Below are 23684 nucleotides of genomic sequence, written 5' to 3' on the forward strand. Positions count from 1 at the left end.
TTTTGGAGATGGAGTTTCACTCGTTGCCCAGGCTGGAGTGCAATGGCATGATCCCCACTCACCGCAACCTCCGCCTCCCAGGTTCAGGCGATTCTCCTGCCTCAGCCTCCCAAGTAGCTGGGATTACAGGCATGCGCCACCATGCCTGGCTAATTTTTGTATTTTTAGTAGACTGGGGGGTTTCACCATGTTGGCCAGGCTGGACTCGAACTCCTGACCTCAGGTGATCCACCCACCTCGGCCTCCCAAAGTGCTGGGAGTACATGCGTGAGCCACTGCACCCGGCCCTCCTGCTTCCTTTTAATGCTGTGTATATTCCTTTGGATGAATGTGCTGGAATTTGATTTTTGGACAAATCAAATTGGACATTTGGTTTGTTTCCAGTCTGGAGCTGTTGAGAATGGAACTGCTGTGAACATTTTTGTGCGAATCTTTTCAGGGACATTGCTTTCATCCGTCTTGGGTAAATGTCTAGGAGTAGGATTGCCTGGCCATCAGTGCATTTATGACTTGTTAAAAACTGCTGATTTTGTCTTTTTCTTTTTTTTTGAGACAACAGTCTTGTTCTCTTGCCCAGGCTGCAGTGCAGTGGCACAATCATGGCTCACTATAGCCTCCAACTCAGGTGTTCCTCCCACCTCAGCCTCCCAAAGTGATGGGGTTACATGTGTGAGCCACTGTGCCTGGCCCAAAACTTCTGGTTTTCTGAAGTGGTTGTGCCACATCCTTGCTAACTTGTTGTTTCCTTTGTGCATTTTTTTTTTTTTTTTTTTGAGACTGTGTCTTGCTTTATTGCCTAGGCTGGCATGGCTCACTGCAACCTCTGCCTGCTGGGTTCGAGCGGTTCTCCTGTCTCAGCCTCCCAAATATCTGGGATTACAGGCGCCCGCCACCACGCCCAGCTAATTATTGTATTTTTTTTTAGTAGAGACAGGGTTTTACCATGTTGGTCAGGCTAGTCTTGAACTCCTGACCTCAAGCAATCCACCTGCCTTAGCCTCCCAAATTTTGGGATTCCAGGTGTAAGCCACCGGGCCCGGCCTGCAATTCTTCTAAGCTGCTTTCCCCCCTCCCCCCGAACCCAGCTTCAAGTGATTCTCCTGCCTCAGCCTCCTGAGTAGTTGGGATTACAGGAATGTGCCACCATGCCCGGCCAAATTTTGTATTTTTAGTAGAGATGGGGGTTTCACCATACTGGCCAGGCTGGTCTTGAACCCGACCTCAAGTGATCCACCCACTTTGGCCTCCCAAAGTGCTGGGATTACAGGCGTGAGCCACCGTGTCCGGCCCTAGGCTGCTTTTAGCCATCAACGTGTATTGAGGGCAAGGACATCTAGAGTCGAGTGAATAGTGGCGAGGCACCACGGAAACGCAGCCACCAGACTGCATCAGAGGGACCTGTCCTTGCCCTGCCTTCCTCTGACTGTCTGGTCAATGTACAGGGTGGGGAGTGGGCCAAGGTTGGGTGCATCGTTTTATTTTAGTTCAATTGCACAGCAGTCTGAAACAGAGCAGAATGCTTCTTCCTGGACTGCGTGTCATTCTGTGTCTGCTTTGAAGTTTGCCATGCCTTTTCCCCACACTCACACGTGCTGTCTGCCAGCCCCCTCCATCATCTGCCAGCCCCCTCCAACCGCAGGACTACTCAGTATCTGTGGGATGCCTCTGCCACCCTCACTGGAGCTGTGGCCACGAGATGTGCTCTGGATGCCTCAGCGGGTCCCTCAGGACCTGCAGGGACAGTATCCAGCACAGCATCAGGACAAAGTGCTCTTGGCTTCTAGTTCTAGAACAAGCGGCTCGTGCCAATCAACCCTGCTTCCAGCTCTTCCTGTCTTTATTTTTTGACCTGAAAATGTGCATTTACCTGTTACTGGGGAGACTGGCTAGCCAGGCAGGGAGAGCGAATCCTAAGTGCACACACATTCCTCCGTGTGAACAGACCACAGCTTGCTTTTCATTGTCCTGGCCACATCAGGAAACAGCACCCGCAGCGGCTTTGCAGACCCCTCCCCTCAAGTGTTCTTGTATTCAACCCCCACACCCTGCAAGAAGTAAGGATGACCCTGACTTCTGACACCTGACGTTGGCTTTGCCTGTTTCTGAATTTGGTTGCAGAATCACTCAGCATGTTCTAAGGGCAGAGAGTCACTGGTGTCGCTGTGAGTATACATTGCCTTATCGAGGGTGCTGCCTCCCCGTGTCAGGCTGTGGTGCTGCTGGGAATTGCTTGCATGTGCCACACCTGACACAAGTTAGCCAGGCGTGGTGGCACGCGCCTGTAATCCCAGCTACTCAGGAGGCTAGGGCAGGAGAATCACTGAAACCTGGGAGGCAAAGGTTTCAGTGAGCCGAGATGTCGCCACTGCACTCCAGCTTGGAGACAGAGCGAAACTCCGTCTCAAAAAAAAAAAAAAGAGAGAGAAAGAAAAAGAAAACCTGGCAGATACCTCCTTACCCTTGTGCTCAAGGTCAACATTGCCAGTCATGAGACACTTGGACATGTGGACCCCTGGTGTGGTACCCTGGGAAGGACACAGCGCCACTGCATGCACTTCCCGCCAAAATGTGTAGCCTGTGAAATGATGTCCGGCCAAACATGGAGACACATTCCGCAGCACTCACCCCTCAGAGGTGTCATGGCCACTGAGGCCAGGACGAACTGAGGGACAGTCACAGCGTGGAGGGGACTAAGGCGACAGCAAAGGGCAGCCTGGGAGGCTGGCTTGGGTCCTGGGACAGGAAGATGATGGCGTGGGGACTTTTAAAGTACGGAGTCACTTGGCCTGGCTGTGTTTGTGCATGAACCAGCAGAGGGGGAGAAAGTGGTCAGGTCATAGCGGGAGGGCCACAGGGGACATCCAGGGGCAAGTGAGACCGGGAAGGACTCCTGCCTGATTTTCCTGCCTTCCTGAATTTCTGTGTTTGCAGGGGCGGGGAGGGGGGATGTAATTTACATACAGCAAAACAGAGAGATCTCAAAAGATGCTGTTGGGTGAGTACTGTCAAACGTGTACACCATGTAACCGTCACCCCAGTCAAGACGTGGAGTGTTTCCATCACCCCTCAGGCTTTGCCCTGTGCCCCACAATCATACTTCCCAGTGCTGCGCTTAGACCGGGTAGGCAGGACGCCGTGCCTCAGGGCTCGGGCTGACCGAGGAGGAAGCAAATACTTCAGCAGCCCTACTCAGGGGCCGCGCTCTAGTATTTCTTTGGGATTTTCCAAGTCTGTCTTTGGTGCTTGGGAATGGTTGGTCCCCATCTTTCCCATGCAGGGCACTCTCTGATCCTCTATACCCTACCTCCTAGGGTCAACCAGTCCATGCCTGTCTTGGCCTTCAGCAGTGCGTGTGTATGTGTGTGTGCGTGCGTGCATGTGTGCACACATACCCTTTGGTGTTCTGCTGTTCCACTTTTCTGGTTAAGCACCCAAGGTGGTGGGGTAGGGGCGGGGGTCCTTCACCCTGTGCACTCCAGGACACACCCCCATCCCCTCTGTAGGCTCCACTCCACACCACCTGCCCACCTCCACACCTATGACCTTGTCCCCTCTCGCCTCTGATCAGGATGGTGATGTTGTGGCGAGGTCGTGCTCTCCCAGGTCCATCTTCAGGCCTGTAGACAGAAAGACGGACCTTCCTCGCACAAGTGGACCTCTCTTCTCGCTTGACCCAGAGCCCTGCTGGAGGCGGCCAGGGAGGCAGGGGTGTGGGCGACACTGGGAATGCAGCCATCGTAGCTGAGGAGTCCAAGTGGGCCCATGACTGGAAGTCTCCTGCTTCTACTAAGAATTTTTTTTTTCAAGACAGGAGTTTTGCTCTTGTCGCCCAGGCTGGAGTGCAGTGGCCCACCTCGACCTCCCAAAGTGCTGGGATTACAGACATGAGCCACCTGGCCGTATCCAGTTATCTGTTGATATCAGTATGGATTTGGGGACATTTATTTTATGCTGTTATAAACCAATGCTATGGCCATTGACTCATTCCAGGTTTGGCCCCTGGGATCTCCCTCAGGCTGGCCCCTGGGTTCTTTCAACAATTCCCCATCTTTTTCAAACACATCCTCATTTCCTGGGTCTACAAAGTACTCCAGGCTTAGCTAGGATTTCGTCTGCCCCAGTCCTGGAACAAACCAGTTCTCCAAGGATTGCCAGTTTCATACGCTGGAGAATAGTGCTAGAAAACGAAGATCTGAGTGCAAGGTGAGCTCACTGTGGCTGGGATATCATCGTTTCTAGACCCTTTGAGCTTAAAGACCTAGAAAAGACATGCATACTTAATAGCCCAAGCATAGGCAGGCTTCTGCATTTATTCCTGTATCTACCTGCATATATACATGGTAAAAACCATGGGTTTACACAGATACCTTGGAGCCAACCCAACACCAAGGGCTTTCCTTGGCCTCCCTCTGGCTCTCACTGTCCGATGCAGATTAGATTTACCTGTGTGGTCAATCCTCGTGTGTACATACATTTCAGAACTGCTGGCCTGGACCCATGTGAAAAACAGTCACCATCTACAGCAGGGGTGTCCAAGCTTTTGGCTTCCCTGGGCCACACTGAACAACTGTATTGCACCACACATAAAATACACTAACATTAATGATGACTGATGAGTTAAAAAAAAAAAAATCGCAAAAAAATCTCATAATGTCTTACGAAAGTTTACAAATTTGTGTTGGGCCGCATTCAAAGCTGTCCTGGGCCGCACAGCCCAGAAGCCGCGAGTTGGACAAGCTTGATCTCCAGTATTCTGTCCAGTTCTTTTTGTCTTTAAACTTACTTACGGTATCCATCAAAATCCTATTTTCCAAAGTTACTTTTTTTTTCTTTTTAGATAGAGTCTCGCTCTGTGGCCCAGGCTTGAATGTGATCTCAGCTCACTGCAACCTCCACATCCTGGGCCTCCTGCCTCAGCCTCCCCAGTAGCTGGGACTACAGGCGTGTGCACCACCATGCCCAACTAATTTTTGTATTTTTAGTAGAGACAGGGTTTCACCGTGATGGCCAGGCTGGTCTTGAACTCCTTACCTCAGGTGATCCTGCCTCAGCCTCCCAAAGTGCTGGAATTACAGGCGTAAGCCACTGTTCCTGGCCCACAGTTACTCGTTTCTTTCCTTCACCCTGGATTCAGGATGGTAAAGTTATTCCTTTTGAACAGTGAAGTTTGCTTGTTACTGTTTATATCCATTTGGAATTTCTCCCACAATCTGGTTGATCTTCATTATTTTGGGGGGCTATGAAACATCACTGTGATTCTAAGAATGGGGCGCTTCACAGAAAGTCTCCTTAGAAAAATGTTGCTCCGCCCCATCCCTGCTACTCCATTCCCGTTCCCTTCTTTCTGCCCCACTCCCATCCGCCCCTGCAGGCAACAACTCTCTTTAGGTCCTGGTTTATCTTTCCTTCCTCCAGAGCACCCGAGTAACTGCTTCTCTCCCCATCTCCCTTACCTGAAGAGCACACGCTGCAGATACACATCTGCACCTGCTTCGTGCTCAGCAGCGGGTCGTGGGAACCACCCTACATTGTCACTCATCTGTCACGGCTGCACAGTGCTCCCTTGTGACACAATGCACAGCCTATAACCTTTTGGGTGTTTGCATATTGTTGGACGTGCATCTTCAGGGCAGACTCCACCAAGCGCTGCTTCTGGGTGTGGGTCAGACGTGGGACCTGGGAAAGGATCCAAAGGGCCCTGTGGTCCGGTCCAGACCAGGGTGAGGCATGGAGGAGGCTCTGCACAGCCATTTGCAGCTCAGCCAGCACCGGGTGATGGCAGGGAGGCCTGGGCTTCTGCACTGGCTTCTGGCCTCTTCTGGGCACCCACGCTTTGTCCATGAATGGAAAGCAATGCTGACGGCTGCCCAATGTGTCCAGGACGTTTCTGAAACTCCTGTTCCTCTCCCCGTCCCTCTCTCTGTCCCACTGTCCACCTCAGTGACCTCCTCTCTTCGTGGCTCTCACCCCACACTCTGCCACTGCCACATTTTCCTCTGCGCCCAGCCTCTGCCTCCACCTGAAACTTTCCTGGAAATCTCAAAATGTAATTCCAGGTCCCGCTGCCCTGGGCAGCACATCCCCCTTCAGAATAAAGGGCACCAACCGTCCCCTGGCACCTGCCTAAGCCATACCCCTTGCTCCCCTCCCCAGTCCCTGCAGCCCAAGGGTCCCCTCGACCACCCCAAGTCCCCACCTGGGCTTCTGCTGCACCCCCGCTGCCCTCCCTCCCGCTGGCCGGCAGCACCTTCTCCACCCGGGCCCCTCTGCTCACAGCGCTCCCCGCCCCCGTCTCCCCGAGGGGCGGGGAGCCAGGACATGGCCCTGAAAGCCTAGCCCTGGCCTTGACCTCCCCAGAGCGCCCTCCCCACCCTCCGCCCTCTGCCAACCCTGGCCCCTGCCCTGGCCCCGTCCTTGTCCTCTGCTGCTGGCCTTGGGGTCGCGCCCCGCAGACTGGGCTGTGCGTGGGGGTCCTGGCGGCCTGTGCCGTCCCACGCCTACGGGGATGGGCGAGGTCCTTCTTGGGGCTTCTCTTACCCACTCTCCAGTCACCTGAGGGCGCTGCTTCCCTGCGGCCACCCCAGGTTTCTGTGCAGCCGAAGCCTCTGCCTCTGCGGCCGGGTGATCCCAAGACCCCGGGGTCCAGGGAGGCACGGGATCTGCTCCCCCGGTCCCAAATGCACCGGCTGCGCCTTAGGAGGGACGGCCTCCACCCATGGCGCTGGCGCCCAGGGGCCGCTCCTCGGACTACAGCACTTGCTCGTCGCCCTGCGCCCTGTTTAGTTCTCATCACCAGCAGCCTGGACTAGGGCCCTGGTCCTTCTGGCCTCCTTCCACAGCCCGCTGCACATCTCACCCACTTCCCCGAGGTGCTGTCATTGTTTAGCTGGGCCCCTCAGCCTCCGTGGTTTAGAATCGTCAGAAAGCCCGGTTCATCAGGTCACTATTGATTCTGGTTTGCATAATCCTTTCTAAACTGTGTGACTGTTCCCTGTCAAATTTGTTTTTGAAATGGAGTCCCTCTCTGTCACCCAGGCTGGAGTGAAATGGCACGATCTTGGCTCACTGCAGCCTCCACCTCCCAAGTTCAAGTGATCCTCCTGCCTCAGCCTCTCAAGTAGCTGGGACTACACACACCACCAGGACCAGCTGATTTTTGTATTTTTAGTAGAGATGGGGTTTCACCTGTTGGCCAGGCTGGTCTCAAACTCCTGACCTCAGGTGATCCACCCGCCTCACCCGCCTCAGCCTCCCAGACTGCTGGGATTACAGGTGTGAGCCACCACGCCCTACCAAGCAGTGGTTTTTAAAGGCAAAATGAAGGCCGGGCACGGTGGCTCACGCCTGTAATCCCAACACTTTGGGAGGCCGAGGCAGGCGGATCACTTGAGGTCAGGAGTTCAAGACCAGCTTGTCCAACACGGTTAAACCCCGTCTCTACTAAAAACTCAAAAAAATAGCCGGGCGTGGTGGACACCTGTAATTCTAGCTATTCAGGAGGCTGAGGCAGGAGAATCTCGAACCTGAGAGGCTGAGGTTGCAGTGAGCCAAGATTGCACCACTGCACTCCAGCCTGGGCAACAAGAGTGAAACTCTGTCTCAAAAAACAACTTTGGGAGGCAGAGATAGGATAACTTGAGCCCAAGAGTTGGAGGCCAGCCTGAGCAACATAGCAACATCTCATCCTACAGGTTTTCTTTCCTGTTCCCATCTCTTTATCCTCCTTGGCTGCTTCCTCCACTCCATTCTCCTGCTCAGGAATTTGCTCTCCAGGGTTTTTCATTCCGCTCCTTAGCAGAAGGTGTTCCTGTTGCTTTCCAAGGTCAGTTTTCACTCCCAAGGCCTCTGTGTTCTTCTCCCTAATGGTGCCCTCCCCCAAATCTGATGGAAGCAAGCCCCTGCCTGCTTTGGAGGTCCCCAACCCCCAAACGTGGTGGGTGGGTCGCTTGGTGCTGCCACTGACTCCTGCCCCCAAGAGCTGCCTCTCATTTCAAGCTGATGCACTTCTCGCTGTGACCTCACAGGAGGAATGGCGTGTCCCACCTGTCTTGAGAGGTTGCTGTCTGACATCAGTGCAGGTGTAGAGAGGAGGGGGCAGGGGTGAAGGGCCATCGTGGTGCAAACCCCACTTCCTCCAAGGAGGAGCTGAGCAGAACAGGAAGCGTCGGGCCTTCAGCTCCCACGCCTCCGGCTGAGGCTTCCATACGTGACCCAGGGCAGACTGGTAGTGAAGTCCCCATGCTCAGCCAGGAGCACCGCTGAGGCCTCCAGTGCACCGAGGGGTGATGTGCAGAGGCCCCGCTGCATCCACGGTGGTTTTTTGGTGGGCAGCACTTGCATGCCCCGACCTGGAGTGGCCCCAGCCCAGGGGTGTCTGGCAGGAAGGGGTCTCGGGACCATCTGCTCCAGGGTCTCCTTTGAGACCAGTAAGGGGAAGTGCCTGCCATCCGTGAGTAGAGCCTCACAGAGTGCTGGGAGCGCCTGTGGGTGAGGATGGGGCTGGCCTGGGAGGACGAGGGGCTTCGAAGCCACGGGAAGGAGGCTGGGGCCACAAGCCCCCAGGGGGGTGGATGGGAGGGGCTGGGCAGGAGGAGGGTTCCCGGGCCGCCTCAAGCCCCCAGGGGGGCAGATGGGAGGGGCTGGGCAGGAGGAGGGTTCCCGGGCCGCCTCAAGCCCCCAGGGGGCCGCCCCTGTGTACCTGCTGTGCCTGCCTGAGTTAGGCCCTCCTGTCTGCACGCCACCCCTGCTGGCTGCAGTGACTCCATCTCCAGACCGTGTGTGTGTATGTGTATGAGTGTGCGTGGTGTGTCTGTGTATGGTGTCTATGCATGTATGATGTGTGTAAATAGTATGATGTATTTGTGTATGCGTATCTATGTGGTGTGTGTGTATGGTGTCTATATAGTGTAGTGTGTGTGCATGTATGATGTGAGTGGTACAGTGTGTGCACAGCTGTATGTGGTGTCTGTGATGCTGTGTGAATGTGTGCATGTGTGGGGTATGTATGTACATGTATGGTGTAAGTGGGATGGTATGTATCTGTATGTGGTGGTGTGCGTGTGTTTGTGGTATGGTGTGTCTGTGTGCATGTGTACATGTATAGTGTGAGTGGGATGGTATGGTATTTGTGCGTATGCATGTATGGTTTGTGTGTGTGGCATAGTACGTGGTATAATGTGTGTGTGGTATATGTGTGCACCTGTATCTGTATGGTGTCTGCGCATGAGTGGACATGTGTGCGTATGTGGTGTGGTGTGTGTAGTGTAATGTGTGGTGTGTATGTGCGCAATGCACATATTGTGCGAGTGTGTATGTGATGTTTGGTGTGCATGTGTGGTGTGAGTGTATGTGCACATATGGTGCATAAGTGCCTGTGTGGGGTGGTGTACTGTGATGTGTGATGTATGAATCTATGTATGTGCATATATATGGTGCGAGTGTGTGCATACGTGATTGGTTGTGTGTGGGTGCCTCTATGGTGTGTGCATGTTCTGTGTGGTGTGTGCCTGTGTGTATGTGGATATGTGCATGTATGGTGTGAGTTTAGTGTGGTGTGGCACATGTGTGTATGTGGATGTGTGGTATGTGAGTGCATGATGTACCTGTGTATGTACATGTATGGTGCGGAGTGCGCACGTGTGATGTGGTGTGGTACATGCGTAAGTACATGTGTGGTGTGGTGGGTGTGTGTGCATGGTGTGGAATGTGCACGTGTGTGATGTGTGGCACATGCATATGTACGTGTATGGTGCACGTGTGTGTAGTGTGGTATAGCGTAGCATGGTGCATGCTCCACGCTCCTCTGGGACCCTCAAGCTTCCCTGCCTCCTCTGTGGGGACCCCTGGGTGACGTCTTGCTGTAGAGGAGAGGGCGCTGCTGTGCAATTCTGGTCCAGATGGTTCAGCTGGTGACCCTGGCCTCCCCATGCCAGGCTCCTGGAGGCCATTCCCAAGGTCCTGGGGGGAGGATTGAAACCACGCCCCTGGGTCCCACACCCACCTGGCCCCCTACCCCCGAAACTGCCGCCACACCCAATCCCCCCTCTCCCGGATCTGGGAGCTGGGATTCTGCCCTGCTGTCCCCGTCTGGGGCCCCTCTCCTCTGCAGGTGCCTCAGTTGGGAGAAGGAGGGGTGGCTGTGAAGGTGAGGATGAAGGAGATGGCCCAAGAGCACAGCCTGGGGGCAAGTTCCCAGGGAGGCACTCGCTGGTAAGGGAACAGGGAACACTCGCTGTCACCCACCTTCCTTGTGACAGTGGCGCTGTGGCCCATCCACCATCACCCCAGCGCTTCACCATGAGCAGCTTCACGAATCCATGCCCAGCTCACTGCAGAATCCCCGGGCACCAGCGCTTCGCCAAGAGTGGCCTCCAGACTCCACATTTTAAGAAGGAACTCCCACCCCATTCAGCTCGCTGCAGAATCCCCAGGGTCCCTGCCAGCCTGGCACCCAGCGTGCCCCTCAGTATTCTGGGGATTAGTGGGGGAGTCCCTCTGCCGGGAAGAGGTCCTGGCTGTGTCCCTGCAGGGCAGTGGCTGAGCCCATGCCTCGACCCCAGGGCCAGTCCCCGCCAGGTGCCATCCTGAGCAGGGCCACAGAACAGATGTCCCACATGGCCAGGACCCCTGTGGCCACCTGACCCCGGGGGGGCTGTGGCCCTCGGTGAAGCAGGTGACCGGGCGGGCTGTGGGGTTTGTCAGCTCCGCAGCGTCACTGCCGCTCAGCGTATGAGTTTCCACTCCCAGCACTCAATGAACAGCTGAGCAACTGCAGGTGCCTCCGAGTGCTGGGAGAGGGGATGCTCAGCCAGCCAAGGGCCTTTGCCCCAGGGGAGTAAAATCGGGGCATTTCCTGGTGGGTGTGGGCTGGGCTGGAGAAGCTGGGCCTCCGGGCAGGGGCTGGCATACTGTCCAGACACTGCACGGACTGCCAGACACTCCTCACCTGGGCCTCGGGCTTCTCACCTGAACCACAGGGTGGTAACCCCTGCCCCTCAGGTGGCATTGACGTGACCTGCCTAGTGCACAGTGAGCCTGAGGCAACACGGCCACCACCAGGAGACTCCCTGGGGAAGAGGCCCCCAGACAGCCAGGTGCCCATGAAGTTCTGCACAGGGGCCGCCGCCGTCCAGGAGATGGGAGGGCCCTGTCTGCACCCTGTCTGGAAGGGGAGTGGGGCGAGCGGGCCACTTGGCCTCCCTGGTATAGGTAAGGCCAAGGCAGCTAGAACTGGGGACAGAATACCCGCAAAGGGGAGGGGAGCTGCACAGATGAAAGGAAATACACACCAGCGTCCCGTTGGGGTCTTCGGATGAACACCAACCTACACATTCTGTAAAACCCCAGGACGCCAAAGAGTAGCTTTTGAGGAAAAAACAATCCTCCGGAGGGTAAGACAAACAATTCCCGCCTTGCACAGAAATCACCCTCGTCCCTCCAGCCAGTGTGCAGACACTTCTGAATACCCAGGATTCTGCAGGGACAGCAGGAGGGTCACACCTGGGAAGGACTAAATCATCCAAGGAAAGGCTACTTCAGCCTCACTCTAGTGAGCTTAAAACAAACCTGAAAAAGACCAAATTAATCTACATGGGGCTTAACAGCCGGCCAGAAAGCGTAATATTCTTTAAAGGAACCTTAACAAAACTTCACACTTAATAATGTAAATCTCACCATGTTCCTAGTCAAAAATTTACTACACAGACTCAGTAGCGGAAAAACATATCCCATAAGCAGAGGACAAATCACAGATGCTCCTCGACTTACGATGGAGCTACATCCGAACAAGCTCATCGTCGGCCGACAGATCGCACGCAAGTGGTCCACGGATCGCACATAAGTGGTCCACAGTCGACAGAAACAGACCTAGATATGACAGTAATAATGAATTAGCAGAAAAGGAACAATTATCTTAAATTTGCTCCATATGCTCGAGGGTATTTTTTAAAGCATGATTATGATTAAAAGAGAAATGGAAGACACTGGTGTGCTTTTTTTTTTTTTTTTTTTTTTTTTTGAGACCGTCACTCTGTCACCCAGGCTGGAATGCAGTAGTGCAATCACGGCTTGCTGCAGCCTCAAACTCCCAGGCTCAAGTGATCCTCCCGCCTCAGCCTCCCGAGCAGCTGGGACTACAGGCATGTGCCACCACACCTGGCTAATTTTTTTTTTTTTTAAGACAGATTCTTGCTCTGTCGCCCAGGCTGGAGTACAGTGGCGCGATCTCGGCTCACTGCAACCTCCGCCTCCCAGGTTCAAGCGATTCTCCTGCTTTAGCCTCTCAAATAACTGGGACAACAGGCATGTGCCCAGCTAATTTTTTATATTTTTAGTAGAGACAGGGTTTCACCATATTGGCCAAGCTGGTCTCAAACTCCTAACCTTGTGATCCACTGTCCTCCCAAAATGCTGGGATTACAGGCGTGAGCCACCGCACCTGACCTTTTTAATTATTTTTAAAGATGAGGTCTCACTGTATTGCCCAGGCTAGTCTCAAACTCCTGGGCTCAAGCAATCCCCCTGCCTCAACTTCCCAAAGTGTTGGGATCACAGGTGTGAGCCGCCAGCCTAGCTGGAAGACATTTTTTTAAATACCAAAACCAAATTTATAGAGATGAAAAAACACAATGGCTCATACAGAAAATGGCCATAGCTTAACAGCAGCTTAAAAGATCAGTGGGCTTGAAGACGTGGAAACAGAATCTACCAAAAATGAAACGCAAACTGAAGAAGATGAGCAGACTCACGGACCCATGAGTCCACAGCAAGCAGCCCATTCGAGTACCTGGGACTGCAGGAGGCAGGGGAAGAGACCGAATAGCTAGAATATTTCCAAATTGCATAAAAATGACAAAGCCTACAAATCTTGACAAACCCCCAAAACACACACACATACCCTAAAGCTTATCAAATTACAGAAAACCAGGGATAAAGAGAAAAAAACAAAAGCAGCCGCAGAATACATACATGATGACTATCATGTATCAGTCAAGAGATAGAAACATTTAACACGAAGAATGATTCAACAGGAACAGAGGGTTCCACTAACATGTAAAGAGACTTCCGAGAACGGAGGCGCTGAGGCCTCGGGAGAACCTCCACCGCCAGGACTGAGACAACAAACCCACAAGCGTTGAGTCTGGATCTTGGTGAGAACCTCGGAACCCCACGTCGGCTGAGACGCAGCTCTGACCTGAGTGGGGCTATGATGTGCCGGGTGGTGCAGTTGGCCAAGGTGCAGCAGGCCAAGGCCTGAGAGCAGGAAGCCCGGGGCAGGAGTGCCAGCGAGACTCACCCAGAAGCTCTCCCTGGGGCAGGAGGGAGGCAGACGCCCTGGGAGCTGGACAGAGGCAAGGAAGCTTAGCAGGAATCCTTCCCACCGTGGTGAATGAACCTGGGTGTTGCTAAACTCCTGCAGACTGTCACTGAGAGCCCCCGCCCCCACCATGAGGCTGGCAGGCACACACCACGGAAGCCAGGAAAAGCAAGCACACTGGAACCAGGAGGGCAGGCCCCTCCCTCCTGTGGAGTCCCTCCAGCTCCTTCCAGTGACAGAGCCAAACACTGTGCCAACCTGCAAAGGAGGGTACAGGGAGGGCCCAGCCCAGGGTCACACGGCAGGGCTGAGAAGGGTGCACTGGGCACGGAGAGGCAAGACACGGATAGCTGGAGATACCGTGTGGGGGCCACACATATCTGCACGTGCACATACAATCACCCTCCCACTATGAAGCACAAAACAGGGCTCAACAAATCTAAAGAGAGGGAAGTCAGCAAAGTATATTCTGAGACCACAGTGGAATTAAAACCAGAAACCAGAAACAACAACAAAATCTGGAGGAAAACCCTAAATGTTTGGAAATTAAACCATACTTCCAAATAACCCACAGACCAAAGATCTCACAAGGGAAATCAGAAAGTAAAACGTATCACGTCAACATATATGGGGTACAGGAAGAAACACAGAAAGCTCTCCTTCCCGGAGGGGCCCTCGCGGCTGGTCAGCTGCTGCTGGCTGCTGGCAGGAGGCCTCAGTTCTCTGCCATGGTAACCTTTGTAGGCTGGCTGAGTGCCCTCGTGAGCTTGCGGCACATTTCCCCCAGGGTAAGTGATCTAAGACGGGTAAGTCAAGGTTTTGGTAAGGTGGCCTCAGAGAACAGGATCAAGGTTAGGTCTGGATCGAAGGTGGGCAGTGTCACTGGCTCCCTGCAAAACTCCACACCACACACTGTGGGCCTTCCAAGTCGATCATGAGCCGCCACAGCCGCAAACACTAGGCGTTGAGGATGCACTGCGTTTTCCACGCTGGGGTCGGGGTCTGGGATGAAGGACTGGCAGGATCTTCTAAGAAATGTGCATAACTGAGAGCCAGCAATTCCACGCGCAAGTACACACCCAACAGAAATGCTTACAAATGTTCCAGAAGACGGGTGCTGGCCGGGGGCAGTGGCTCACACCTGTAATCCCAGTGCTTTGGGAAACTAAGGCAGGAGGACTGCTTGAGGCCAGAAGTTCGAGACCAGCCTGGGCAGCAGAGCAAGACACCATCTCTACAAAAACTACAAAAATTAGCCAGCACGCAGGCACACACCTGCAGTCCCAGCTACTCAGGAGACTGAGGTGGGAGGATCGCTTGAGCCCAGGAGGCCCAGCGAGCCAAGGTCACACCACTGCACTCCAGCCTGGGTAACAGAGCAAGACCCTGTCTCTAAAAATAAAAAAAAAACAGAAGACAGGTGCCAGCATGTTCATCACTGCACTATTCCTAACAGCCAAACTGTGGAAACTACCCAAATGCCCATTGATAATAGAATGAACGTGCTGTGGGATTTTCACACAATGGAGTACTTGGCATACAGAGCACTGAGAATGAACAATCCACAACCACAGGCAACAAGGTGGATGAGCCTCACAGAGAGTGGAGCAGAAGCGGCCACAGCAAGAGGGAAACTGAGGTCAGGCCGGCCAGCATGCCTGTGCAGTGCCTAGAAGGGAACATGGGCGTGGGGGCTTCTCAGCAGGTGCTAAGTGTCCTGCTTCTCGTGGGTAGTCACACACGTGCATTCAGTTGCTGAAATCCCAGTTCCAGCATTTCACATGCACTTCTCGGATGTACAGTACGCACACTGTAATCAAAATGAAGAAAGACGGGCTGGGCATAATGGCTCGTGCCTGTAATCCCAGCACTCTGGGAGGCCAAGGTGGGAGGACTGCTTGAGCCTGGGAGGTTGAGGCTGCTGTGAGCTGAGATCACACCACTGCACTTCAGCCTGGGTGACAGAGTGAGACCGTCTGGAAGAAAGTGCTTAGAATTAAATACAATAGATTGGGTGCAGTGGCTGACACCTATAATCCCAGCACTTTGGGAGTGCGAGGCGAGAGGATCACCTGAGGTCAGGAGTTGGAGACCAGCCTGGCAAACATGGCAAAACCCCATCTCTACTAAAAATACAAAAATTAGCCAGGCGTGGTGGCAGGAGCCTGTAATCCAGCTACTCGGGAGGCTGAGGTAGGAGAATCGCTTGAACCCGGGAGGCGGAGGTTGCAGTGAGGTGGAGGTTGCAGTGAGCCGAGATTGTGCCACCGCACTCCAGCCTGGGCAACAGAGCGAGACTCTGTCTCAAAAAAAAAAACCAGATACAATGACCAAATTTTCTTCATCAATTAAAGAGGTAGAACAAAGTCCAAGGAATGTCCTAAAAGTAAAATACATAGAAACTAAAAAAATAACGGAAGAGAGCAGATTAAATTGAAGGAGTGAGATCCTCCCAGATGGCAAACAGGGTGGCGACATCTCACAGAACAGACCCAGTTGCGAGGCAGTCACAGGGGACGGGAAGGTGGTGGGTGCTGCTGTTCTGGGTGAAGGGGCAAGAGACAAAACTCTAAATACACGCGGAGCTGGGTTCAACCCATGCAACTGTAAGAGGTATTTCTGGGATGACTTCGGGCAGGTGAACAGGAACCAGTCTATCAGTCAAGGTACCAGCAAGAAGGCAGCTGCGCCATCCACTGAGACACAGAAACGGCTCTTGGCAGAGGGACCAACTCAGGACCAAGGCAGGATGCTGAGGAATAGCAGGAAGCCAACCCCGCTGGGGAAGAAGCAGAGCCTCAGAGTAGCCCCGCGGTCCTGGTGGAGAGACGCGGCCCCGTGAGGAGGGCGTTCCGTCTCAGTCCCAGCCACTCCACTCTGCAGCCGTAGCACAAAGCAGACACAGATAAGACATGGACAGACAGGCATGGCTGCATCCATAAAAGTTTATTCTCAGATAATGAAATGTGAATTTCATGATTTTCATGTCATGAAATATATTTTTAATTTGTTTTCAACCACTTTTAAAATGTAAAAAAGCCATTCACAGGCCATCTATCAGGCCGTGGGCAGGATGCAGCGCATGGGCCTGTCTGCCAGACCCTATTTTAGGTGAAGATGCCAGCAAGACCAACCTGAACCTCTCCTAAAACCAAGACTTTCAAAGCAGACTATGAATGAGAAAGCATGCCCTGCGCCAGATGCCCTGGCAGCGTGAAGGAGGCCAGGCTGCTTGTACAGGACAGTGGCCCAGCATGGCCCCTGCCTTCTGAAACCCCTGATCCCCAGCAGAGAGGAGTGGGCCTCAGCTTTGCAGACAGCACTGTTTCCAGATCAATGTTAAAAGGAAAACAAGGCACTTATGAAAAATTTGAAGCATTCCAGCTTTTGATACACAAAAGGATTCTGAGTACCCAGCGATACCCCACATCATAGTCATCGCCAGCATGAACCTGTTCCTGTGTGGAGACTTCATCACTGGACAGCAGGTAGGAGCCGGCCTGAACGAATTAAGTGATGTACCCAGAAGCCTGCCCATTGCAGAAGCCTCTTCCCAAATCACGCGGCGCACACCTCACTCACATGCAGCGCACGGTCACGCAGTGCGCACCTCACACACACACAGCGCACGATCACGTGGCCTGCACCTCACTCACACAGCACACGATCACGCGGCGCGCACCTCACTCACACAGCGCACAATCACGCGGCGCGCACCTCACACAGCGCACGATCACGCGGCGCACACCTCACTCACACAGCGCACGATCACACGGCGCGCACCTCACACAGCACACGATCACGCGGCGCGCACCTCACACAGCACACGATCACGCGGCGCGCACCTCACAGCACACGATCACGCAGCGTGCACCTCACACACAGCGCACGATCACACCGCGCACCTCACACACACAGCGCACGATCACGCGGCGCGCACCTCACTCACACAGCGCACGATCACGCGGCGCACACCTCACTCACACAGCGCACGATCACACGGCGCGCACCTCACACAGCACACGATCACGCGGCGCGCACCTCACACAGCACACGATCACGCGGCGCGCACCTCACACAGCACACGATCACGCGGCGCGCACCTCACTCACAGCACACGATCACACCGCGCACCTCACACACACAGCGCACGATCACGCGGCGCACACCTCACACAGCACACGATCACGCGGCGCGCACCTCACACAGCACACGATCACGCGGCGCGCACCTCACTCACAGCACACGATCACGCAGCGTGCACCTCACACACAGCGCACGATCACACCGCGCACCTCACACACACAGCGCACGATCACGCGGCGTGCACCACACACACAGCGCACGATCACACCACGCACCTCACACACACACACAGCGCACGATCACGCGGCGCGCACCTCACACAGCACACGATCACGCAGCGTGCACCTCACACACACACAGCGCACAATCACACCGCGCACCTCACACACACACAGCGCAGGCACCAAGGAGTTTTGCCTGGTATATTCGGTTGCTGCTAAACATTCCTAGGAAGTTGAGAAGGTTCATCCTTGCTGATCGGTGATTGAAATTCAGCAACATCCCTGTGGCTCTGCAGTGTGTGCCAAGGTCAAATCAAATCATAACGACGTCCTCAATCACCTCCCTGTAAACCGGGTGCCAGCCAGGCCCGTGCTCACACTTCCTGAAACAAGTTCACCATCTGTGCCACCGATGCCAGACAGAGCTCCCTGCGACTCCGAAACGTGTTTCTCACTTCCCACAAGGGAGCCACTCTCCAGGAGCAGCTCCTGAGCACAAGGGCTACGGCTGGGGCTGGGGCAGGCTCAAGCATTCGTGCTGAGTTTCAACAGCCTGTGTGGCGAGCAGCTACTGCGGGACAGCACGTCACCTGGATGCTGAGACGGCGGAACAACATGAAAACATCCACCATGCCAGAAACGTCAGCCCACAGATGCTCCTAGAGGAAGATGCAGCGGACACGAAGGGCGGTATGAGAACAGGAGAAACACAGACAGCTGCCGCCACCACCGGCTCACACGCAGCCTCCGACATGAAAAGAAAGTGCTTCAAGAGCTTCCACTCCACTGGTCTGGCTTCCCTTCAACCAGAAAGGGGGCACAGGCACCCAGCAAGAGCCTGTGCTGGTGACACAGAATGTTCTTTCTAGAGCCCAGGGGACAGCCCCATCCTCTGAGCTGGTCACAACTGATGTCACCTTTTCCTTCTTGAAGGGACATGCCAGGATGCAGGGGAACAAGTTAAAAAGCTTTTCCTAATTTGAGGTGAGAGACACCACTGACCGCCACGATCAGCAACTTAGCGTCGCCTCCCCCGGTCTCATCTTCTTGGCATGCCCGTCGGGCCCAGGCGGGGGACTCCGGCGCCGCTGCTTCTTCTCTAGCTGCTGCTGCAGTCTCTCCTCTTTCTTCTTCAGGTAGGAGGTCACGTTGTCGAACGTGGCCTTGTAGAGACTGCTGAAGCTGGCGTCTGCGCCGGCAGAGCCTGTGATGGGGGAACAAGGACAGGTGCCAGGTGGGGCAGGAACATGGGACTCGGCCACCACAGCGGGCCCCCTGCAGCAGGGAGTTACCTCGTGACTCCCAGAGTCCTCGGTGGACCGTGGGGGGCGCCTTCTGGGACGGCTCCCCACGGTGCCCACCTCCTGGGACCCACACCCTGGCTGGACCTGAGGACTGGCTACTAACAGAACGGGGCAAAGATGAAAGAATGTAATGGAAACCAGGGCACCAAGGCTGGGCCTCCACCCCGCCAGCACTCTCTGCTTGCACGCCCGGAGAAAGCCACTACTGCACCATGAGCCGCCCTGTGGAGGGGCCCAGGTGGCAGGGGACCAGGAGCAGCAGCCTCTGGCCAACAGCCAGAGAGGCCCCCTGTCCTGCCGACAACCCAGACTGAGTGAAGTCGGGCCCTGCCTGGTGAAGCTGAGATGGCCACCTGCAGAGACACAGCTCAGCTGAGTCCGGACCCCTGACCCACAGCAACAGTGAGACAGTAAGGGTGGGGTGCCTTAAGGCATCGAGTGTGGGATAGCATGTTCTGCCGCCACAGGGAATGGACACGGATTTCATCTACTTTATCTAAGTGCCAAGGATTGGGGGCAATGACTGACCACAGGCACACGGAGACAGCCTCAGCCTGGCCAGGAAACCACAGGCCCAGCCGGTAACCCGCGCACCAGCGACTGCCTGAAGCCTGCCCATCCAGCAGGTGGCGCAGCCTCCCCGCCCCTCCAGCGACTCTGCTGCTTGTGGGACACTCTAGCAGCAGCCCTCCCCGGTCCCTCTCCCAACGCAGGCCCCCAAGTCTGCGCCGGGAACAGGCTGCTCTATCTATGGAACATCTCAGGAGAGCGAGCCCAGGCTTTGGCCTGAGACTGTTGTGCAAGGTGACACTCAACAGGTCTATGCTGTCCGTGGCCTAGAGCACGGGGGCCATGAGCACTGCAGATGCCCGGCCATGAGCACTGCCGCCTGCAGTCCCTGACACAGCCAGTGACAGGCCCACTCTGAAGTGTTCCTAAAGCAGATCCCAACCACGCTGGGGGGCCCAACCCTGCCCGTCTCAACCCTCAACATCCTAAGCAAAGCAGGAGGGAGAGAAGCCTCAGAGGCAGAGCCAGCGTGCCGCCACTCGGGGAGCCTGGCAGAAGGCGGCTGGGCCCCAATCAGCGGAAACTCCTCCGACCTCAGTGTGAATCCCTCCAGAGCTCCAAGGAACCTCAGTGCTCACTGCAGTGGGGTTTAGCTTTGCAAGACTTCAGAGCAGCAACTTCTTGTCGTGAATGAGGCACCTGGATTCCATGCTGGGCTAATCCATCCTGCAGACACCATCACCTCCAAGACTGCAAGGTGCTGGCACAACGACGCACCCAGAACTACAGTGTGTCGTGTCCCCAGAAGGCAGGGTAGAAAATGTTCGTCCAGCTCCTCCCTCAGCCTGGCTGCTCTCCTTCCTGCAGCCGCAGCCACGGGAGTTGCTGGCTAGATTCCCTCCCCTCAGCTGAGTGTTCCTGTCAGGACAGTGACCATCCTGCCCCTGCTCAGCCTCCTGAAGACCCCCGGGGCCTCTGGCTAGACCCCCACTAAACCTCCCAGTGAGGCCCTGCACTTACTGACGCCCACTGCAGTGGGATCAATTCCCTCAACACCATGGACCAGGCATGAGGCAGCACAGCACCAGCTCCCTCTGGGAGCCACCAGCTGCCAGCCCTGCCCTGGGGACCTTCAACGCCCAACTCTGAAGGCAGGTGCTCAGACCCTGAGCCCCCGGTTCCTAAGTGGCTCTCGTTAGCCTGACTCCCATGGGGGGCTCCTTCTTCTGCTGTGCGTCACCCACCTCCTGCCCTGCCCCGCCTTCTGGATGGGGACACACGCTTACTCTCCCTCTTTATCTGCACACCAGGTACCCCGGGCAGGTCACAGTGTGTGCTTCTGCTTTCTCTGGGGACCGCGCTGGGTGTGACCCCCAAGGGCAGCCTGCACCCGTGCTCTCACCTTCCAGCATGGCCCAGTTCCCACGAAGAACACCAGAGACTTTCTTTAACACGGTGCTCTCAGGAACAGACTGCAGGCGACAAACAGGAAATCTTCATCAGAAAGAGGCAGGCCTGGAAACCCAGCACCAGGACGCAACACATGCTGGCCAGAGAGGCTTGCAGGGGAGGTCCCCTCCTGGTGCCTGGGGACCCCCATTCACCTTCTGTGGAGACCTGGGGAGGCAGCCCCCGCAGCTGGCCCATGATGCCAGGGCAAGCTCTTCACATGCAGTTCATCAACCTCAGGGGCCAGCAGGTGCGACAGGCACCCACTGGGGACATCATGTGGCCTGCCACTTCTCAGGTAAAAAGAACTGGATGGCTTAAAAGTGCTTCCAGGTCAGGCGCAGTGGCTCATACCTGTAATCCCAGCACTTTGGGAGGCCAAGGCGGGCGGATCACCTGAGGGTGGGAGTTCAAGACCAGCCTGACCAACATGGAGAAACCCCGTCTCTACTAAAAATACAAAATTAGCCGGGTGTGGTGGCGCATGCCTGTAATCCCAGCTACTCGGGAGGCTGAGGCAGGAGAATCACTTGAACCCGGGAGGCGGAGGTCGCGGTGAGCCGAGATAGCGCCATTGTACTCCAGCCTGGGCAACACGAGCAAAACTCCGTCTCAAAAAAAAAAAAAAAGTGCTTCCAAAGTGCTCAACTGAGCTTTGGCAAATGGGTACCTACTCCACTCAACTCCACAGCAACCCTGTGAGACGCAGGGCGGGCAGGGGCATTGCTCCGTTACCAGGAGCGATGCAGACAAGGTACAGGGTTCGCCCCGTCCCCCAGCAAGGAAGCAGCTCGGCCCGCCGCCCTCGCCCAGAGACCCCACTGTCTCCCCAGAGGAAAGCAGCTCAGCCTGCCGCCCTTGCCCCCTCCTCTACCCGGGGCTCCACATGCTCCTGAGGACTCAGCCAGTGCCCCAGGCCCGAGGCTGTGCTAATCCAGCCTCCAAGTGTTAGTCCCACACACCCTTGCCACACTGAGTGCCAACTTCATCGCTAAGTGTGGTGTGGGGGGCCACACACTCACCCAAAAAAAGAACTGTTGCAGACATCACCACATGGGACAAGCCAGCCACGCCGGCCTGGCACCCGGCTCCCTTCACCCACGGTGGAAGCCCCAGCCACTGCCATTCAGGACACAGACCCTGGGCCCCAGAAGTGGCTGAGTTGAAAGAGGCTTACCCATGGACCCAAAAAACATAGCTGCCGCCCCACACCCCCAGGCTTATGGAAAGGCAGGGCATAGGACATCTGGAAGGTGCCGAGTCTCACCTGCCACTGGTCGCCCACAGGCCTGTAGAGCACCAGGGGGGCTTCCTGGCAGTCCTGGAGCACCCACAGCCCCTGGGTCTCCTCGAAAGCCACGTCCCACACTTGGTGCTGGAACGCCAGCTGCTGCCTGTACACCAACTGCTGTCTGCGGGCGTCCAGCTGGAAGATGTAGACCACAGGAGTGCTTGCCACGAAGAAAGAGAGCATGATTACTAGGACTGCAGGCCCACGGGCTCCGCTCTGCAGCCAGCACCCCAGACGGTGCAGCCCTCGCCGGTGCCACCTCAGGAGAGCCTACGCTGAAAGCCCCAGCTGCGCCACTCCCAAATGCCGGCGCCGGGGAAACCATGGGGTGACGTACACTTTTTTAAGTCCTAAGCTCTGGAGTGGCTCGTGGTGCAGCAATAGCTAACCAGCACGGTACAGGCAGGCAGGGCAGGAGGACGCAGGCCCTGGGCTCAGGCGCAGCTCTCCTCTCACACCTGCGTACTTCCAGAACGAGCTAAGAGACCTCCCCAGGCTGTCATAAGGACAAGATGAAAAGTGCCGAAAGCACCAAATAGAATACCTTTCCTGACACACACAAGTCACTCGGGAAGAAGCAGCAGAACTGCACTCCACCCCTAAACCCACCTTGTCAGCACCGCCAACCCCAGGGGGTTCCCATCCGACCAGCCCCGAGCCGGGAGTGAGGTGATGCCACCACGACTGGCCCAGGGGAAAGTCTGTCATCTCAGAAGGCCAGGCAGAGGCTGCTGGTGCTCTTTACGCCAGGGGAGTTCAACGTCAGGTTGAAGAGCGCTGGCTGAGAGGAGCCCTCACCCTCATGCAGCAGCAGTCATCAAAAGTGACATTCTCAGAGGGAGGTGCTAGACCAATACCACCACCGTTCAGGACCTCTTCATTGAGGACGTGGGCCAGTGGCCAACCCGCTAACTCTTCCCCCTGCAGGTCTGCAGAACCGGAGGCCATAGAGGTGCCGCCGCAGCTTACCCGTCGCACAGGAGCGCCACGCAGTTCTCCTGGCACCAGAATGCAATCCTGGACGCGGCAAACTTCTAAAAGGAGAAGAAGCCCATTAACTTCACGCCACCTGCAGGGGCCCGACGCCGGGCGCTCTGATCCAACAAGAGCAAGACCGAAGGACGCTCACGCCCCCACATATCAAGGAAGAGGAAACAGCACTGGAACATTCTGGAATCAGTGGGGAAAGGAGGGTAGCTGATTCCCTGTTTCCCAAGCAGATGACAAAAGCCCCCCAGTGGTTCTGGCACTCCCTGCAGGGCCTGCGACAGCCTCCAAAGCCAACAAGATAGGTCAGACAGTGAGGAGAAGAGGGAGCGGAGGACACAGGGGAAAGGAAGAGATGAGAGCTACACATACAACTGCCCTGTGAGCTCCCACAGTTCCTGGCAGAGGAAATATTAAAAATGAAGAAGAGGCCGTGCACAGTGGCTCACGCCTTTAATCCCAGCTACTCAGGAGCCTGAGGCGGAGGTTGCTGTGAGTCGAGATAGCACCACTGCACTCCA

General features: G+C 55.5%; 1 protein-coding gene across 12 annotated transcripts in view, besides 5 other annotated features; it reads right to left on the reverse strand.

The window, feature by feature from the left end:
* Positions 3099-4050: an enhancer, noted in NCBI's record as "H3K4me1 hESC enhancer chr21:44254625-44255576 (GRCh37/hg19 assembly coordinates)". NCBI's record gives its function as "activates a minimal SCP1, AML or CMV promoter by ChIP-STARR-seq in naive H9 embryonic stem cells {active_cell/tissue: H9 hESC(naive)}" and the evidence as "EXISTENCE:reporter gene assay evidence [ECO:0000049][PMID:30033119]".
* Positions 8043-8202: an enhancer, noted in NCBI's record as "active region_18531". NCBI's record gives its function as "activates an Ori minimal core promoter by ATAC-STARR-seq in GM12878 lymphoblastoid cells {active_cell/tissue: GM12878}" and the evidence as "EXISTENCE:reporter gene assay evidence [ECO:0000049][PMID:35858748]".
* Positions 8263-8312: an enhancer, noted in NCBI's record as "active region_18532". NCBI's record gives its function as "activates an Ori minimal core promoter by ATAC-STARR-seq in GM12878 lymphoblastoid cells {active_cell/tissue: GM12878}" and the evidence as "EXISTENCE:reporter gene assay evidence [ECO:0000049][PMID:35858748]".
* Positions 11678-23684, reverse strand: part of WDR4 (WDR4 tRNA N7-guanosine methyltransferase non-catalytic subunit) — a 49905-nt gene continuing 37898 nt past the window's right edge. For 8 of the 12 annotated variants that reach the window (NR_048535.1, XM_024452048.2, NM_001260476.2 and 5 more), the window contains 4 exon segments: positions 17810-18826; positions 20839-20908; positions 22153-22336; positions 23146-23210. Coding sequence is in view for 11 of the 12 variants with exons in the window: in XM_024452048.2 (XP_024307816.1) it covers positions 18633-18826; positions 20839-20908; positions 22153-22336; positions 23146-23210 (513 nt within the window). In the remaining variant the exon portion in view is untranslated. 12 annotated transcript variants of the gene reach the window in all.
* Positions 16727-17292: an enhancer, noted in NCBI's record as "H3K27ac-H3K4me1 hESC enhancer chr21:44268253-44268818 (GRCh37/hg19 assembly coordinates)". NCBI's record gives its function as "activates a minimal SCP1, AML or CMV promoter by ChIP-STARR-seq in naive and primed H9 embryonic stem cells {active_cell/tissue: H9 hESC(naive and primed)}" and the evidence as "EXISTENCE:reporter gene assay evidence [ECO:0000049][PMID:30033119]".
* Positions 17293-17858: an enhancer, noted in NCBI's record as "H3K27ac-H3K4me1 hESC enhancer chr21:44268819-44269384 (GRCh37/hg19 assembly coordinates)". NCBI's record gives its function as "activates a minimal SCP1, AML or CMV promoter by ChIP-STARR-seq in naive and primed H9 embryonic stem cells {active_cell/tissue: H9 hESC(naive and primed)}" and the evidence as "EXISTENCE:reporter gene assay evidence [ECO:0000049][PMID:30033119]".

Source organism: Homo sapiens, chromosome 21 (genome assembly GCF_000001405.40).
Source record: "Homo sapiens chromosome 21, GRCh38.p14 Primary Assembly".
NCBI classification, from domain to species: Eukaryota; Metazoa; Chordata; class Mammalia; order Primates; family Hominidae; genus Homo; species Homo sapiens.